Below are 17,750 nucleotides of genomic sequence, written 5' to 3'. Positions count from 1 at the left end.
ACCGCACCCCCAATAAAAGAAAAGAAAAAAGAAAAAGAAAAAAAAAGAAATTGAGCTGGGACTGGGGTCCATGACCTCTTCCTGGAGCAGAGTTGTGGGGAGGAAAAGGCAGGGGCCCGCCTTCCTCCATGTGTTGCTTCTTCCCATGCTGTCCTGGTCCTGCCCACTATGCTGGGGCCACCTCAGGGTTCCTGGGCTCTGCAGGGCATCAAAGGGGTTGGCCACGCCCAGAGGCTACCTTGAGGGCGGGCCCTGAGCCAGGCTCTGTGCTGGGCTTCTTCCTGATCTTCTCTCATGGAATCCCTGCAGTGACACTGTAAAGTGGGTGCTACTATCCCCGTTTTATAGATGGGGAAACTGAGGCTCAGGGAGATTGAGGGACATGATTAGAATTTGGGTCATCTGACTCCAAAGACAGTTCCTTTGCCCACTGGCAAACTCTGGTGGCCCAAGGTGGGGAGGAGGAGGACGGCATAGTCAGAGTGCAGGGTGAAGGCACTGCCCTCTTAGGAACAGCTCAGAGAGTGTGGTGCTGAGAAGGGTTTCTAGTCCTGGTGTTCACACCCGCTGGGGCCCAGCAGGGCTGTTGGTGTGGCCAGAGTCTTAACCCACTGGAGAGGGTGCCTCAAAAGGGCAACCACAGTCCCTGTTTAGAGTTGTGTGGAAGGGGAAAGGTTGGCTTTGGGCTCTGTCGCACCGGGGTTCAAATCTTGGCTCTGCTACACACCAGCTGTGCGCCCTTTGGCCAACCACCTGACCCCTGACCCACAGCATGGCCACTGCTGTCTGGCACGCAGCACACACGTGGTACCACCCACCCACCCTCCTCCTCCCTGCCTCCTTCCTCCACTGACGTGTGGAGGTGGGTAATGACTGAGGGTATGATTCTCTCTGGGATAGTTTCACTTTAATAAGAGACTTTAATGCCTCCGAACCCCAGCGGAACGATGTTTCCCTTTAATGGTGACATTTCAGGCATGGTGACAGCCGTGGGGAGATTCTGGAGGCGGGGGCCCGCCTGGCTCTGCATTGGTGCAGCCTCCTTCTCTGGCCCTTCTTCCACTCCCCTCCCCCAGGGCTCACGCTGCTGTCTTGCAGGCAGGTCAGTGTTTTGTTAATTTGATTGAGGGATCTGTTCTGAGTGTGCTCACTCTACAGCTCCTAGAAGCCCAGACTGGGAATTGGTGGGCATTCTGACACAGAGAGGGCCAGCCTGAGCTCTGCTCTTCTAGGCAGTGAGAGGTTACAGAAAAAGTAATGAAGAGGCTTGCAGGGGGAGTGATTGACCTGCTTGGGGGAACCCTGGAGGTCTTGTCCCAGGGAAGAGTCCCTGGGCATGCTGAGCTGAGCATGATGGATCTTATCTGTTCATTAAGACAGCACCCACCCCACCCCCAGGACCTGTCTGCACTCCAGATGACTTGCAATGTCCCCTCATCCACTCAGTGCTATCAGAAGTGCTCCCAAACCCTGGCTGTGTTGCCAGGGGAGAGGAGGAGGAGGAGATGTGGCCCCCTGCTAGGCCTGGGCGGGGGACCAAGGGACAGGGGACTGGAGCTCTGGAGGAGCAGTCCTGGGCCTGCGGATAGGGTGGTTGGGTATTCTTCTTAGCTAACTCAGTGGAGCTAAAGGCAGGGAGGGTTTGAAGAGGTCCTGAGGGAGAGGTCCATGGGCCGGGCCTAGGTGCCTGTGTTCTAGTCCAGATTTTGCAGCTGATTCCTGTGTGACTGTGGGTAAGTCCCTGCCCTCTCCTGGCCTAGATTTTCCCATCTGTCCAATGGGGGTTTTGGTCTGGGCCAGCTAATCTATGGCCCCTTTCAGCACCCTCCTTCCCTGGGAGTGGGGGGTGGTCTCTGGAGCTCAAGGAGCTGGAGAGGGGTGGGAGGCAGATGTATGTGCTGCTGTGTGCTCTGGCCAGCACATTCATTAAGCATCTGTAAGATGGATACACCCCCCAGTTCACCTGGCACATGAGCCTCTGGATTTATTTCTTCCTGAATGGTGCCATCCATCATGTTAGCTTTGCTGCCAATGGCGCGGCTGGCTCCTGCCTGAGCCTCCTGTAGGATAGGGTGCCTTGTTATCCTCCAGGCAGGGCTCCTCGCCCCCAGCCCCCAGCCCCCAGCCTTGCTCCTGCACCTGACCACCCATCAACTTCTGTGGCATGGGGGCAATTCTACCCCTTAGGTCTGCTCTGGTCCCCAGCCAGACCACAGGTTCAGGGTGCTCTAAGGAGTTCTGGGGCAATCAGGGCTGGCTTCTTGAAGGAGGTGGCAGTACTGGCTTTAGACCTAAAAATGTATCTAGGCAGGAAGTGGACAGGTGGAAAGAAGACTAAGTGCTTTCAGTATTGGCGTTGAGGGAGGAATGGAATTCATGGAACAAAGTGAGGGAGGTCCCATGCTTATACTCATGTTGTTTATACCCATTTTGCTTATGAAAGCTACCCAGGCAACAGTGTTTATTGACTGACTGATTGATCCTGTCCCCAGTTCATTTTTTTTTTTTTTTTTTTTTGAGACAGGGTCTCGCTCTCTCTCCCAGGCTAGAGTGCAGTGGCATGAACACAACTCACTGCAATCTGGACTTCCTAGGCTCAAGTGATCCTCCTGCCTCAGTCTCCTGTGTAGCTGGGACCACAGGTGCATGCCACCATGCCCATATAATTTTTTTTTTTTGTAGAGACAGGGTTTCACTTTGTTGCCCAGGCTGGTCTTGAACTCCTGGGGAGCCTCCTAAAGTGCTGAGATTGCAGATGTGAGCCACCGTGCCCAGCTCCTGGTTCTTATAATTTCTTGTTCTTTCAGACTCAGGTGCTCTTTTACCCTTCCTAAGTGGCTCAGGAACTATCTGGTGACCCCACCCCAGCCTCCATCACACAGTCCCCCACAACATCCATCCCTGCTAGAGGCATGCGGAATATGGCAAAGTTTGCCCGACCCTGGATAAGCCACTTCATCTTTTGAGCCTTGGTTTCCCCTTCTATGAAATAAAGATGGCTGGTCTTGCCTGCCAGGGTTGTGAGGAAGAGATGAGCAATTGTGTATGAGGTGATTGGCACAGGGTCTCGTCCGCAGCAGGGTCCCAATGCATGTGGGTCTCCTCCTTTATCCTGAAAAAGACCTGCAGGTTTCACTGAAGAAAGGACATTTGAGATGGTCTCCAGCAAATGAATAGAAGCTCACGCTCAGTGGGCAGAGCCGCCAGGTTGGGGTGGCAGTGATTCTGGATTTCAGCAGGACACATGGAATGGTGCTAAGGGTCTCTGCTGGGGACAGCTTTTTTTTTTTTTTTTCTTTTGAGACGGAGTCTTGCTTTGTCGCCCAGCTGGAGTGCAGTGGCCAGATCTCGGCTCACTGCAAGCTCCACCTCCCGGGTTCACGCCATTCTCCTGCCTCAGCCTTCCAAGTAGCTGGGACTACAAGCGCCCACCACCACGCCTGGCTAATTTTTTGTATTTTTAGTAGAGACGGAGTTTCACTATGTTAGCCAGGATGGTCTCGATCTCCTGACCTCGTGATCCGCCTGCCTCGCCTTCCAAAGTGCTGGGATTACAGGCGTGAGCCACCGTGCCCAGCCTTTTTTTTTTTTTTTTTTTTAAGACAGAGTCTTGCTCTCTCGCCCAGACTGGAGTGCTGGAGTGCAGTGGTGCAATCTCGACTCACTGCAACCTCCACCTCCCAGGTTCAAGCAATTCTCGTGCCTTAGCCACCTGAGTAGCTGGGATTACAAGTGTGTACCACCATGCCCGGCTATTTTTTTTTTTTTTAAAGTAGAGATGGGGTTTCACCATGTTGGCCAGGCCGGTCTCAAATTCCTGGCCTCAAGTCATCCCCCTGCTTTGGCCTCCCAAAGTGCTGGGATTACAGGCGTGAGCCACTGTGCCCGGCTAGGAAACAGCTTCTTAAGCAAGGTGCAGTGGTTAAGGGTGAGGCCTCTGGAGCCAGCCTGTCCAGCTGTGATCCTGGCTGTACTCAGTAGCTCTATGTGCATGACCTTGGGCAAAGCACTAGACCTCTCTGTGTTTTGATTGCCTCCTCTGAAAAGGGGAATACTGATAGAACCTAGCTCACAGTCTTGTCGTGTTGATTAGATGAGTTTATACATGTAAAGTTTAGAATAATGCTGACTACATATTAACTGTTTAATACAAGTTAGCGGCTTTTGTTATTTTATTTTATTTTAATTTTGATGTAGGGTCTCACTTTGGTTGTCCAGGCTGGAGTACAGTAGTGCCATCTCGGCGCAGTGCAGCCTCAACCTCCCGGGCTCAGGTGATTCTCCCACCTCAGCCTCCCGAGTAGCTGGGATTACAGATGAGCACTGCCACACCAGCTAGTTTTTTGTATTTTTAGTAGAGACAGGGTTTCACTATGTTGCCCAGACTGGTTTTGAACTCTTGGACTCAAGCAGTCTGCCCACCTTGGCCTCCCAGAGTGCTAGTATTACAGGCATGAGCCACTGTGCCAGGCTGGCTTTTGTTATTCTTACTGAGGGTCAGAGAGGTTAGGGACTTGCTCATAGACACGCAGCTTGTTAATTCCAAACCTATGCTCTTTCCTCTGCTCCAGGCAGCCCTGGTGTCTGCCAGAGGTGCCTGATGTGCAGACAGAATCCAGGCCTCGTTTGGGGAGAGGTTGAGGCAGGCTCTGCCCACGGTGAGTTCTCTCCCAAGGCTCTTTAAGAGCAGGACCTTGTCTGTCTCACTCACTTCTGTATCCACTGGGGACCCTCAGGACCTGGCGTATAGTAGATGCTCAAGAAATACTTGTGGCTTGGCTACAGATGGATCAATAAATGAAGGCAGGGAGGGTTACCTGGTTGCTCCTAGGGCTTCTGGCGCTCACCATGGGAGCCTCTCACACCTCCATCTTCTGTTCCAGATTGGGAGGACTCCCCCACCCCCGCAGTCTGGCTTTCAGCAGCACCCCCTTCAGCCCTTTTGATGCCCACCCAGCTGCCTGCCTCTCCCTAGGAGGCAAATCTTCAGCATCCCTCCTGCGCCCCTGGGTTCTCCCCGCTTGCTTGTTAACTCGAGAATAACTCCCCAGCCAGCCCTGAACACGATGCTTTTGCCTCTGCTTTTATATTGCGTTGTAATTTGACTGTCTAAAGGTTCTTAAAGAAGAGAGAAATGCAAAATCATTCCCTACTCTGTGCCCACAGTAGATTCTGTCTCCAGGAGGGATGGAGCAAAACCTCCCAACCCTCTTTAGACTGGGGGTCTTTGCAGCCTACCTGTCTTTAAGGTAGGGTACAGGGCACAGGCCTGAGGCCAGGAAGCCTGGGCTCTGATGCTGTCCCCTCAAGAATCTGTGCCCCTCTTAGTCCCTTGACTCCCTGTAATGGGGGAAAGGAGTCATGCCCCTCCTTTTACAGAGTACATAGGGGCCCTGGGGCTCTCTGTCCCCTCTGCCCTGCCCCTGGAGAACGCTGGGTGCTTGTGCCAAGCAGAGTGGGTTCCCGGTGAAGGTGTGCTGGAGGTGGGCATAGGTGGATGGAGGGAGGAGGGAAAGGTGCTGCCTACGACTCCTCAGTGAGGCCCTCCTGGCAGGGGGAGCATGGGGTAGGGGGTAGTCCGGAGAGCCAAGGCAGCATGGAGCCCAGGAGGGCTCTCCTTCCACCCCCCACCCTTTCAGTCACTCCATCTCTCCCACCTTCCTCACCAGATTCTTCTCAATTTCTGAGAAGGTGAGGTTGGGCGTCGGGCTGGGGGCCCTGTGCACCCGTGCACCACCGTGGGTTCTGTCCATCCTCTCACCGCACCCCAAGCTTTCTTGGAGCATCGTGGAAATGCACTGGCTGTGAGGGTGGACTCCTTGTGTCTGGAACTGCCAGGGCTGGTCCACACCTAGCTGCTGAGAATTCCTCCCCTTCCAGCTGTTTCCTTCTTACCCTTCCAGCTGTTTTGGCAGGCTCTCTTCTACAGTCTCTGCCAAAGGTGAAGCTGGCCGTGCTCCCACTCTCCCTGGACAGCACACCAGTCTTTGGAATTCGGTCCCCCTGACTGCCTTGTAACACCAGCTCTCCAGCAGGCTAAATGAAAGTTATGGTTTTGCAGAATATCCAGCTTTTTCTCATTGTTAGCTGGGAGGGATGCTCTCTTGTGGCTTCTACATCCTGGATGAGGCAGAATCCCTCTGTCTCTGGCTCTCATGGTTAACAGCTTTGGATTTACCCAGATCTGGGTTCAAATTATGCCTCCACCAGGTGCTGGCTGTGTGCCTTAGGTGAGTCATCCCCACCCTGCACCTTAGTTTCCCCTCTGGAAAGGGGGATACTGGTGCCCAGCTCAGTGAACTGCTGAGAGGGAGGTGAGCTGATGTGCCCGGCACCTGGAAGTGCTCAGGAAGTGGCCATCGAGTGGCTCTGTGAGGCTCTGTTCACTGTGCCTCTGCCTCCCAGAGGCTGTGGGGAGGAAGGCCAGGGAGCAGCTCTGGCTGGGCTGGCCTGCAAGCCAGGGTGGGGGCCAGCCTGGGCCTTCTCACCTTCAGAGGCTTTGGAGAGAACACTCTCCTCCACACGTGTCCCCGACAGCTTCTCTGGCCCAGTCTGAGCTAGGCTTGTGGGGCTCAGTCAGGTCCGTTAGCTCCCTGGGAGCGGCCCCTCTGCCTGGCCTCTCATCTTACCAGTGCCTGGCAGTAGGCCCCGCCCTGCTTGGATGGGTCCATGGAGCTCCTGGGCACAGAGGGTGATGCTCAGCACCTTTGCCTGGCATTGGAGGCCCTGCCCATTGTGGATGGCCCAACCCCCCCTCTGCCTTTCTCCCTTGCCCATCTCTTTCTCTCCATCTGAACCAAGGATTCCTCTTGGCCCCTCTCCTCTCTGGTTTCAGCTGAGGTCTTGGGAAGTCTTGTGTTTCGACATTCTAGGTGAGAACATTCTAGGCCAGGCTTTCTGAGTATGTATGGGGACAAGGGCTTCTTTGGCCCCCAGAAGCAAGGCAGGGCTGGTTGCACAGAGCTTCCTTTACCTCCAACTGTACCTGATGCCCACAGAGCCTGCAGCCTCAGGGGACTGCACTGGGGAAGCTGAGGCGGGAAGCTACTTGTCTGCGGAACCACAAGGTCAAGCGGTTTTGTTTTTTGCTGGCAGTGGTGGGCCCTGGGGAGAGCGGCTGGCCACAGCATAGTCTGTGGGGCCTGCGGCCTGCCCCTCCTGGGTGGCCAGGCCCTGTTTCCAGGGCTGCTCTTGGGGATGCTGGGGCCTAGGCTCCTGAGGACACCAGGGAAGGGTGGCCAGGGGCCTTCCTGGGGCAAGAGCCCTGGCCTCTGCTGTATCCTCTAAAGGTGGCTGGGGTAAGGGGTCCTCAGGGCCCAAAGGCAGAGGGTAGAAAACCTGAGACTGGCCAGGGAATGTTCCAGGAGTTTCCCAGCCTCTCAGGACAGTGTAATGTGGGTGGGGCGGGGGTTGGTTCCCTAAAGGCTCAGGCTTGGGGTGCTGCTGACTCGTGTTCCCAGGAGCTCAGCCAGGCCAGAAGCCTAGAAGGCAAAGAAGCAAATCTAGAGGGGGCACCTCTGGGGCTTTTTGCAGGGTGTCCCCTGCTGAGAGTGCCTTCCCCAGCCCAGCCAATGTCTCCTTCCTGGAGAAGCACTTCAGGTGCCTCTTGCCCCCGCTGGCCTAGGTTTGGGCTTCTCCAGGCTCCTGGTTCCCTTCCTTGGCCACATGGTAGGGTAGCTGCCTGACTCCTGGTGTGTGAGCTCTTTTGGGGGCGAGGGCAGGGCTGGGGGCTGGGAATGCCTGAGCCCCAGGAGATGGACATGTGTGGACAATGACTGCTTAGGGACAGGAGGGAGGCTGCTGCCACCTTTGGCCACTGTTGCCGGGCCGCATAGCTCGGCAGAAGCACTGCCTTCTTGGAACCTCAGCTTCTCCTTCTCCTCCTGGCCTTTTGGGGGTTGAAGGTTAGAGATCTGCTTGGGCAGCCTCGGTCTTTAGGTGCCCACCTCTGCAGGTCTTTTCTGAGCCTCTGTCCCTGTTGCCCTGGACTCCCCACCCTACTATCCAAATCTTTGTGTATTCAAAGCCCCACCCTGCCCCTCCAGGAAGCTCTCCCTGATGCCTCCAGCCCTCGCTGATTGGAGTCAAAACCTCCTGAGGGTGCTTCCAGTTGCTGTCTTCCCCTTGACACACACCCTTGGCTGTGAGTGGGGCACCAGGTATGCAGAGGCCCCACAGCGTGACCTGTGTGGGCAGGTGAGCCTGTAACATCCCATAACAGGCCAGCGTGGTCTGTGCTGGGTGGGGAGGAGCACAGGCGTGGAGCCACTGAGGCAACATTTGTGCTGCATCTTGGAGGGAGAAGCTGGAGACAAGAGGGTCTTGGGGGCAGACATCAGGCTAGGAAAGGCCTTGAATGCCAGGTAAGTAATTTGGGGACCTGGCCTTTTTCTGCAGGCAGAGCACCAGGGGAGAGGCTCTAATTGGATGGCACACTCCTGGGAGCAGACCCTTCCCATAATGCGTGGAGCCCTCCACCCACATCCTCTGTCTGGCGGTCTCATACTTGTTTTTCAGACCTCTGCTCCAAGGACACTTCCTCAGGGAAGCCCTCCCTGACCACACTGTCCATGCTGTCAGGGCTCCTTGGCTTTTCCTTTAAAGCCCTCATCCCAGTGTGTCTCCCACCCAAGTGTGGCCATTGATTAATGACTGCCTCTGCCACCAGGCTTTACAGCCACTGAGGGCAGGAATCAGAAGGGTTTGGTGATCCCCTAGGTCCCCAGCTCTCAGCTCAGTGCCTGGCACAGGATAGGTGCTCCATAAACACTGGCTGAATATGTGAATGCATGCAGGGCACAGAGCCCAGGAGCAACTGGCTGGAGGGGCTGCTGGCTGATGCATTGGGGGGAGGCACAGACCTCCAGGAAGCAGGGGCAGCTCCTCTGTTCCAGCCATCCCAGCCACCGCTGTGCTCCCTTTGTGTATCATAGGTGGCTCTTTAAAGAACCACTTGTAGGAACAAAAGCTGTCTTTGGCAGCACCTCAGTGGGTGGGCTGGGCCTCCTGAAATGCTTTGAGAACAGGTGGACTGAGCCAACTTGTCACCCCCAGGCTGGCTGGTAACTCTTGGGAGAGGGAGCCGTCACAGTGGCAGGGGCCTGGGAGGTAGGGTGATTGGTGGACCCAGCCCTGACCTCACCAAAAGTATTTTTAAAGCTTGCAAGAGAAAGGGGTATTTTAACCTTTGTTCCATCAAGGCATCCCAAGGGAAAAAGGAGGGGAAAGGAAGGAGATGGGGAGCTGCAGAGGGGCACAGAAGTAGGACCAGGGGCTTCTGAGGGAGGGGAAGCAGCCCCTGAGGCCCCCAAGGGGTTGGTTTTTTGTCCCTGGCCCTTTTAAATTTTTTAAAAGCTCCAAACAGCAAGAGGGACCGTGGAGTTCATTATATCGAGTTATCTCCTCCGTTTCAGGCAAAGATCAATCTTCTGGGTCTTGCAGCTCCAAGGGGGGAAGGGAAGAGAAAGAAAATGGAAGGCGAAAGGAAAAAACTCCCTGGACCAATTTCCGCTGCGAACACAATTACTGGGCTGCCTGGCAGCGGCACCAGCTGTTGGCAGGCATCCTGGCCCCCCGCCGGTTGCGTTCAGCTGCCGGCCGCCCCCAAGGCTCCCTCCTGAATGGGACAGGTTGGCAGGTGTGAGAGCCGCAGACTCCCTGGGGTGGGGGCTGCTGGGCCTGTTATCCCAGGGAGGCTGGGGCCCCACTGCTGTGCAGTGTGCGCTGCTGCGCCAGCTGGCCGGACCTCAGTCTCGCTTCCACCTCCCTGCCTTTGCAGTGTGTCCTGCCTGCTGGGCATGCCCTCTGGCTCCTGCCTGCTTCTTCATATGGGAGGCAGTTCATGTAGGGAGTAAGAACACAGGCTTCGGAGTCTGGTAGAGTTGGCTGTGCCCCTTCCTTCCTTCCTTCTTTCCTTCCTTCCTTCCTTCCTTCCTTCCTTCCTTCCTTCCTTCCTTCCTTCCTTCCTTCCTTCCTTCAGCAAATATGTATTGACTGTCTCCTGGGTGCCAAGCACTGCACATAGTACAGAGGTGAATCCAGAGGTGAACAAGGTGGCTTCGGGCCCTGCCTGCCTTATGGAGTTTATGTTGTGATGAGGAGGCAGACAGGAAACAAGGCCACACATAAATAGACAATATAATGTCAGGCGGAGGAAATGCTTAGAAAATTGGGAGAGACTGGGGTGCATGGTGGGCATTTTACCTAGGGTGCCTAGGGATGGTAAGAGGGCTCATTTGAATGGGATGGTAAGAAAGTCTGGGGGAAGAACCTTTGGTAGAAGGAGCGAGAGGGCAAAAACCCTGAGACTGGCCCGTGTGGGAAGGAGGCCAATTATGGTGGAAGATGATTTCTGAGAGGTGGGCAGGGCCTCGAAGGCTTTGGAGAGAGTTTGGACTTCAGTCTGTACCATGGGCTTATGGCAGGGAGCCACAGGGCCTGATTCTCTCCGTCATCGTGCTGCTCTGATAGTTTGGGGCCAGAGGTGGAGGCAAGAAGCTGAGTGAGGGAGGAGGCTGTTTCAATAATCCAGGCAAGAGCTGGCCAGGGCGGGGCAGAGGAGCTGGGGGAAGCAGTCAGGTTCTGGATGTGTTCTGGGATAGACCTGATAGGGTTTGCTGATGGCTTGGGTATGGGCCGAGGGAGAAAGAGAGAAGTCAAGGCTGAGGGAAACATAATTTGGGGATAAAAATGAAGAGTTCTGTTTTGGACAGGTCTGTTAGATGAGCAAGCGGAGATGACAAATAGGCCTCTGAACACGAACTGGCATTCAGGAGGGAGCTGAGGCTGGTGAGAGGGACCTGGGGGCACAGCAGGGGTTTAAGCTGAGGAGTGTGCAGACAGGATGGGATGGAGAGGATGTCCTGGTGAGCCCTGGGGCCTCGGATGCTTGGAGGGAAGTTAGGTAAGAGGGGAGAAGGTGTAGGAGGACAGCCAGGAGAGGCCGAGTCCTGGAAACCCAGAGATAAAATGTCACCTGATGGAGAAAGCAATCAGCCATGTCAGATGCTGCTGAGAGCTCAGGGACCAGTGAGGGGACAGAGAGTGACTATTGGGCTTGGCAAAACTGAGGTTTCTGGGGGACCTTGATAAGAGCAGTTTTGTGGAGTGGTGGGGACAGAACTGGAGAGGGAACTGGAAGTGAAGGGGTGGAGACAGTAGAGATAGCTCTTGAGTTTTGCTATTAAAGGGAAGCAGAGAAATGGGAGGGCATGTGAGGTCAAGGAATTTCCCTCCTTCCCTCTCTCTCTCTTCCTCTCCCTCCTTCCTCCCCTTCCTCCCTCTCCTTCCTCCCCTTCCTCCCTTTCTCCTTTCTTCCCTCCCTTCTCTTTCTTTTACAATATTGAGGCAAATTGCTCTGCTCTGTGGCTTTGGGCAAGCAGCATAACCTCTCTGAGCCAGTCTCCTTTTCTGCAGAATGGAGGTGACAACCCAGATGTTACTGGATCTGATGCACAACAGGTGCTGAGTAAATGGGAACTGTTCTAACTTAGGGCTCACATGGGGAAATGGACAGTTGCAGATCAGTACAGATGTTTTATGGAGGTCAACTTGGCAGCAAGTATCTACATGTAAAACGTGGATACCCTTTGATCTACCCTTTTGGAAGGCACCCAGAGAAATACTTACACATGTGTTCAATGAGACAGGATATTTTTTTCCAGCAATGTTTGAAATAAAAAATTGGAAACACCTAAGCACTCATCCTTGGGGGCCTGATTACACAGGTGAGGGTACACCCCACGTGGCATGCCTCAGTGCAGCACCATGAAAGCTCAGCTGTGACAGTCCGTTAGGAAAACATGCTGGAACTTCACAGCCCAGATCCAAACTTTGGCTCCACTATGCCCTGGCTGTAAACTCAGGCGGCTTACTGGTCACCACTCTACTCTGCACCTCAGTTTTCGTTTCTTTTCTTTTTTCTTTTCTTTCTTTTTGGTTTTTCTTTTTTAGAGATGAAGTCTCATTCTGTCACCTAGGCGGGAGTGCAGTGGCACGATCATAGCTCGCTGTAGCCTCCACCTCCTGGGCTCAAGTGATCCTCCTGCCTCAGCCTCCTGAGTAACTAGGACCACAGGTGCACACCACCATGCCCAGCTAATTTTTTAAATTAATTTATTTTTTTTGTAGAGACAGGGTCTTGCTATGTCACCCAGGCTGGTCTTGAACTCCTGGGCTCAAGCGATCCTACCCCTTCAGCCTCCCAAAGTGCTGGGATTACACGTGTGTGCCACCACATCTGGCCCACTTCAGTTTCTCATCTACAAAATGAGGATCAACACAGCACCCACTTAGGGATCTATTAATAGGATCAGACGAGTTAAGAGGTACAGCACTCAGCCCAGGGTCTGGCACACAGTAGGTGCTCAGTGAGCACAAGCATGGTTATTGCTATGTATGGACAGGGAAAGGTCTCAAAAATCTGTTGTGAAGTGAGGAATGCAGGTGCACACAAGCACAGGTGCTGTGCTCCCTGGTATATACCCCTATGTCTGTGTGCACCTCAAGTGATCCTACCCCTTCAGGTAGGATTGCACACACATTTGCACATGTGTACAAATGCACAGTTAAAGTTTCATGCCAAAGGGATGGCAGTCAGTACCTCTGGAGAGGTGACTGGGAATGAGAGTGTTTACTCTACAGACTACTGTATTTGAACCTCTTAAAAAGAGAATGCTTTCATGTGTTATTTGCATAATAAGGCCATAATATGTGAAGGTAGTCATTTAGGTCTTCACCTCTTTTAGGAAGCCTTCCGTGACTGCACCAGCCCACAGCCCTCCCCTGTCAGATCGCCTTAGTGTTCAGAAACCACATTTCCACTATGGCTGCTGGGAGTAAGATATGTGTGCACACATGCATGTGTGTGTATGAGTGGTCTCCCATTTAGCCTGTGAACTCCTTGAGGGTGTGGGCTTTGTACTTTCCAGGCTGGACACATCTTCAAGGCCAGCAGTTCTCAAAGTGTGATCCCCAACCAGCAGCATCAGCATTACCTGGGAGCTTGTTGGAAATGCAGATCCTCAGGCCCCACCACCCCCAGGACCTACTGGTCAGAAACTCTCGGGGTGGAGCCCAGCAAGCTGTGTTTGCACAAGTCCCAGCAACTCTGCTGCACCTGCCTGTACTGATGGGAGGCACAGTTAGGGTCCCAGGGTGAGCCAGTGACAAAGCTGAGACTGGGCCCAGGTAAAGACCTCAGGCAGACATGGGAAGGTGGCCCTGGGTACTCCCTTCCCACCAGCTCCTCTGTGCTCCTTGGGACCATAAGCCACACGTGGCCTCAGGAGGGAGGATTTGAGGTTCAGCCCTGTGTGTCCAGGAACCAGAGAACTGTGGCTTCCGCTGCACACAGGTTTGGATAGGTGGGGGCTGCGCTGCAAGTCTAGTTTGTATGTCCTCCGGGGCTGTGCGGGTGCCTGAATCCCAGCCTGCTGTAGCCCAGGCCCTTGCTTTACCGAAAGTGCAATCTTGACTCTGGAATGAATGTGGCATCTTTAGGCTTGCCCGCAAGCTTCCAGAGGGCAGGGTCCAGGTCTCCTCCTGCTCTATCTGGCCCAGTACACAGGGAAGCCCAGGCTGGGCAGAGACTTGGGTGGGGTTGACTACAGGACGGGTCTGCAGGCCCCGATCTGACTGTCCTCTCACCTCTTCCCTGCTGTCTCTTTGCAGGTGTCCCACCGAGGAGGCCCTGATCTTGAGCCCGGAGCCCTGAGCCCTGAGACGATGCTTGAGTGAGTTGAGCAGCTGCTGTCTGTGTTGGTGGATGCAGCAGGGCCAAGGGGTCTGTGCAGAGCAGCAGCCCTCTCTCTACCACCTCATTCTCCCCTCCCATCTCCTGGACCCCCCTTTCCCTTCCCCAGCCATGTTCCTGGGGAGGGGCGCTTTTGAGTCACTGGGCGAGGTAGGGGGTGGGAAGGTTTGGGGATCAGCTTTTAGGAAAAAGGAGGAAGGCAGCTCCCTGGTCTGATGGGTCAGGGTTATAGGCGCTGGGGGCCCTTGGAGAGCAACCGCTGGGGCCCTGGGGAGTGTGGGTGCCTGACCCAGGCACCAGCCAGCCTTGAACTTGGGGATCCTGGAGGCTCCTCCTGGAGGAGGAGCAGAGCTGTGGGCCACCCAGGTAAGGTGGGCGGCCTGTGGGGGACAGGCCAGGGAATCTGTTGGGGCAGGGTGTGCTCTGGGTGGTCAGGCTCTGACCTTAGGGCCTGGTTGTACTCTGTGATAAGCATTTTTCAGACACTATTGCTGTGTCTGGGGATCACTGTTAGATGAGGGGCGGCAAGGCTGACCCCAGTAGCCCCCAACTTTGACTTCAGTTCCAAGGACACTCTGTCCTGGGAATGATTACAGGGAGGGTTTCTGGTTTTGTTTTGTTTTGTATTTTAATTAAAAAAAAAATTCCATGCTCTCCCTCCCTCTCCGGAATTCTGGTTTTAATTTGGTGTCAAGGGCCCAGGCGTCTCTTCCGAGTCAGCCTTACCTATGTGCTCAGGAGGGAGCAGAAGGGGTGTGAAGTTGGGGAGACGGCACCCCTCCTCACAAGCCTGCAGCAGCAGTACTAGCGGATTTGAAGTAGTGGGGGCTGGAGGGGTGTGGCTGTCCATCCTCCACCCTGCCCTGGCCTAACTTGCCGCACGGCCCAGGGCAGGGGTTAACTGAGATCGGGAGTTAGGGCTCTGGCTTCAAATTTCCGTATCTGTAAAAGGGAGCTCCTCGTAGCTCATCCTCCTGAGCACTGTGTCGTGTGTAGAAGGCCAAGTACGAAGAGCCTGGCACACAGTTGGTGCTCAATAGATGTGAAAACACACAGTCATTTTGCAGCAGAGTCTTGGAAGGAGTTTGAAGGACTCTGGGGATCGGAGAAGTGCAGCCCTCGGCAGCTCAGACACCCCTGCAAGGGCCAGTGCAGCCTCCTGTCATTTGGGAGAGGAGAAACTACGCTCAGTGGACCTAATCCAGGCAGACTGCGTGGAGGAGGGTTGCTAATTGTGATTAATTTGTGTTGGTTGATCACCTCTTTTTAAGTGTACAAGAAACCATCTTCATACTTTAATTAGCTCATTAATCTTAGCAACAGCAAGCCATGAGAGGGAGCACTTTGTTCCCTTCCTGAGGCCTCGGTCGCGAGGTAGGATTTGGTCTTGGTCTCTACTCCAGGTTCCATGGGTCTATCCGTCTCTCTCCCTACACTTTGTCTCCCAGTGGTGGGTTACCTGAGAGGAGGGCTATGGTTGGAGGCCACGCCCTTGGCCACCATATCCTCTGGTCAGGCCCTCAAGGGTCATGGCATGGGGGTGGGAGCTGGAGGCTGCATCCATGAAGATGTGTGTGTGGACCAGGCAGCCACAGCCAGCAAGATTGTGAGAGGGAGCCCCTGGGCTAGTCTCTTGGGTTCTCTGTCTCTGGGGCACGTCCGTCCTTCCTGGACATGCCCTCTTCCCTCTCCTCCGTACTTGGACACTAACAGCCCCCTCTGCTCGGAGTGTGCCTCCTCTGAGAAGCTACCCCACAGTAACTGCCCTCAGCTGCCATCCTGTGGGTGGCTGAGTGGGCCCCAGCCCCACTCGGTTCAGTGAGAATGAGTTCCAGGCGCTTGTCCTGACCTAGATGGGGGAGCTGTGGGGGTGGCTGCTGCACGCTGAGAGGGACTGGAAACAGGAAGGAGGGTGGGCAGGCAATTCAGGGATCTACAGACACAGGCTTCAGTGGAAGGGATGCCATTCAGGGGAGAGCTGGGAAGGGACAGGCTCCAATCCAGGAGGCCGGCCGTGGCCGGTGGGGAGGGCTATCAGTCAACACACCTGGACGCAGCATCAGAGCACCTTCGATTATTTATGACTCGTGGGATGGCCTCTTGAAATCTTTGAAATAAAAGCAGCCTGTGTGCTAGATCAGAGCCTGAACATGCGTGCTGGGGGGCATGGGAGCCGGGAAGGAGGCATTATGCAAACCCGGGAGCCACAGTTACAACAACGGCATCTGTCCGAGTGCAGAGCAGGGAGCCACCATGGGCTCTGTGTGCAGGCAGGGCTGGCGTGGGCTGTGGCCAGCCTTGGCCGGAAGCTCTGCCTGAGGGGAAGCCACACTCGAGCACCCATCTGACGGGACTGCACATGTGAAGCCTACTCCAGAAGGGACCTCAGTCCACCTGGCACTGCCCAGCAGGCATGGGGAAAGGGTCTTGCTTGGATGGGTGCATTTGCTGGGCACCTCTTGCCACCCCATCATCACCACCAGAGTTTACCAGCCTGACGTTTTGTGTGAGCTTGAGATGCGGACGCAAGCTAGCGCTACCTTCATTTCTAAAACGGGAGCAGAACCACGGGGGTGGGTGTTAGGCCAGTTCCCTAAACAACATCCTATACTTGGGAACTTAATTTTTAACTTTAAGGTCAGAATGTGTCTGCTGCAAACGCTGCTGTTGGTTTTCACCTCAGTCCAGCACAGAAGGGAGGCCTCGTTGCTCTTTCTGCCAGCCCTCTGGTCCTGGGCATTTCTGAGGAGCTGTGGGTGGACCTAGCAGTAAAGTGTAGAGTGCAGACCTCAAGTCCTGAGCTAGACTTGGGTTCATGGTTTCTCTGTGCTTCAGTCTCCTCATCTGTGAAATGGGCACAGCAGTTGTTTTCTCATAGGCATATTGGGAAGATGAGATGAGATGATGCATGACCTGGCACGTGGTGAGGGCCTGTCAGTGGAGTTGTGATTGTCATTGCCGTGGTTGGTGGCTGCTGGGGTGGGCAGCAGAGCCAGTTCAGTCTGAACTGAGTGACATTCGGGTTCCTGTATCCAGGCTGCTGTGGTTGTGGTGGGGGAGGCGGCTCCAGCTTCTTCCCTGCTGTCTCCCTCTGGGTGTCAGTTACTGAGGGCTGCCAGGGATAGTGCTGGACAGGAGGGAGCTGGGTGTGCAGCTGGAGAGAGCTTGTCCCTGCTTCAGTGACAGGAGCTTTCAGCCACCTGGGTAGGGGAGGCACAGAGGGATGAAATCTCTGAGCCTAGAGGAAATAAGGAGGCTGCTTTCATGGGGCACAGAGAGGCAGCAGTGGCAATGCTGGGGTTGAGCGGAGAGGCCTAGCACATTGGGATGGTGGCAGGGAGGAGAGTGAGGAGAAGGAACTGGCACAGGCTCTTCACACATGGAACATCGTTGGTTCTCACGCAGGAGAGGGAAGCCATGATCCCTGTTTCCCTATGAAAAATGGAGGCCCACATATGGAAGCTGAGTTGACCCAAGTCACAGAAAAGGCAGAGCTGGGATTGAATCCCCTTCCCCATGTCCTGTGCCCTGAAGGGGCTGAGGGCACCAGGAGTGGGGCAGGCTCTAGTGCCAGGCTCTGGCTGTCCCGGGCAGGGGACACGCGTGGGTCTGGATGTGCATGTGTGTGCATGTGCATTTGTGTGCCGAGTCTCTCCCCACTTCAGCAAGGAAGCTCTCTGGGAAACTAGGGCAGTGGGGCGGCTCTCTGCCACCTCCTACAGTATTGGCACCTGGGGGCGGCTTCTACATTGGAGCCTGGTGTCTGGGCCCAGCCTGTTCTCCCGCACATGTGCCTCCCATGACTCTGCCCCCACCCCAGCCTGCCTGCCAGGATGGAGGGGTGTCTGGGGGGCTGGAAGGTACCCGGAATAATAAAAATAATTCTCAGCTAAGACATTGAATGCCAAGCATGAGTAAACATCATTCTCCCGTTATCCAAGGCCACAGGGGCAGAGTGACTTGCCCAAGGCCACACAGCTAGGCAGTTGTGGGGCAG

General features: G+C 54.9%; 1 protein-coding gene across 9 annotated transcripts in view, besides 7 other annotated features; it reads left to right on the top strand.

Moving 5' to 3' along the window:
- The window catches only part of LINGO1 (leucine rich repeat and Ig domain containing 1), a 207,874-nt gene that overhangs the window by 72,176 nt on the left and 117,948 nt on the right, over positions 1 to 17,750 (top strand). For 7 of the 9 annotated variants that reach the window (NM_001301186.2, NM_001301187.2, NM_001301189.2 and 4 more), the window contains one exon: positions 13,672 to 13,733. The exons of the other annotated variants lie outside the window; for them this stretch is intronic. The gene's annotated coding sequence lies outside the window, so the exon portion shown is untranslated. The remainder of the gene's footprint in view (positions 1 to 13,671; positions 13,734 to 17,750) is intronic. 9 annotated transcript variants of the gene reach the window in all.
- Positions 38 to 605: an enhancer, noted in NCBI's record as "H3K4me1 hESC enhancer chr15:78040462-78041029 (GRCh37/hg19 assembly coordinates)". NCBI's record gives its function as "activates a minimal SCP1, AML or CMV promoter by ChIP-STARR-seq in naive H9 embryonic stem cells {active_cell/tissue: H9 hESC(naive)}" and the evidence as "EXISTENCE:reporter gene assay evidence [ECO:0000049][PMID:30033119]".
- Positions 606 to 1,174: an enhancer, noted in NCBI's record as "NANOG-H3K4me1 hESC enhancer chr15:78039893-78040461 (GRCh37/hg19 assembly coordinates)". NCBI's record gives its function as "activates a minimal SCP1, AML or CMV promoter by ChIP-STARR-seq in naive H9 embryonic stem cells {active_cell/tissue: H9 hESC(naive)}" and the evidence as "EXISTENCE:reporter gene assay evidence [ECO:0000049][PMID:30033119]".
- Positions 7,052 to 7,563: an enhancer, noted in NCBI's record as "H3K4me1 hESC enhancer chr15:78033504-78034015 (GRCh37/hg19 assembly coordinates)". NCBI's record gives its function as "activates a minimal SCP1, AML or CMV promoter by ChIP-STARR-seq in primed H9 embryonic stem cells {active_cell/tissue: H9 hESC(primed)}" and the evidence as "EXISTENCE:reporter gene assay evidence [ECO:0000049][PMID:30033119]".
- Positions 8,077 to 8,588: an enhancer, noted in NCBI's record as "NANOG-H3K27ac-H3K4me1 hESC enhancer chr15:78032479-78032990 (GRCh37/hg19 assembly coordinates)". NCBI's record gives its function as "activates a minimal SCP1, AML or CMV promoter by ChIP-STARR-seq in naive H9 embryonic stem cells {active_cell/tissue: H9 hESC(naive)}" and the evidence as "EXISTENCE:reporter gene assay evidence [ECO:0000049][PMID:30033119]".
- Positions 8,589 to 9,102: an enhancer, noted in NCBI's record as "OCT4-NANOG-H3K27ac-H3K4me1 hESC enhancer chr15:78031965-78032478 (GRCh37/hg19 assembly coordinates)". NCBI's record gives its function as "activates a minimal SCP1, AML or CMV promoter by ChIP-STARR-seq in naive H9 embryonic stem cells {active_cell/tissue: H9 hESC(naive)}" and the evidence as "EXISTENCE:reporter gene assay evidence [ECO:0000049][PMID:30033119]".
- Positions 9,103 to 9,614: an enhancer, noted in NCBI's record as "OCT4-NANOG-H3K27ac-H3K4me1 hESC enhancer chr15:78031453-78031964 (GRCh37/hg19 assembly coordinates)". NCBI's record gives its function as "activates a minimal SCP1, AML or CMV promoter by ChIP-STARR-seq in naive H9 embryonic stem cells {active_cell/tissue: H9 hESC(naive)}" and the evidence as "EXISTENCE:reporter gene assay evidence [ECO:0000049][PMID:30033119]".
- Positions 10,642 to 11,155: an enhancer, noted in NCBI's record as "H3K4me1 hESC enhancer chr15:78029912-78030425 (GRCh37/hg19 assembly coordinates)". NCBI's record gives its function as "activates a minimal SCP1, AML or CMV promoter by ChIP-STARR-seq in primed H9 embryonic stem cells {active_cell/tissue: H9 hESC(primed)}" and the evidence as "EXISTENCE:reporter gene assay evidence [ECO:0000049][PMID:30033119]".

The sequence above is a fragment of the Homo sapiens genome, chromosome 15 (genome assembly GCF_000001405.40).
Source record: "Homo sapiens chromosome 15, GRCh38.p14 Primary Assembly".
NCBI lineage: Eukaryota > Metazoa > Chordata > Mammalia > Primates > Hominidae > Homo > Homo sapiens.
Note: the sequence above shows the minus strand (reverse complement) of the source record. Positions and strands in the feature narration are given on the sequence as shown.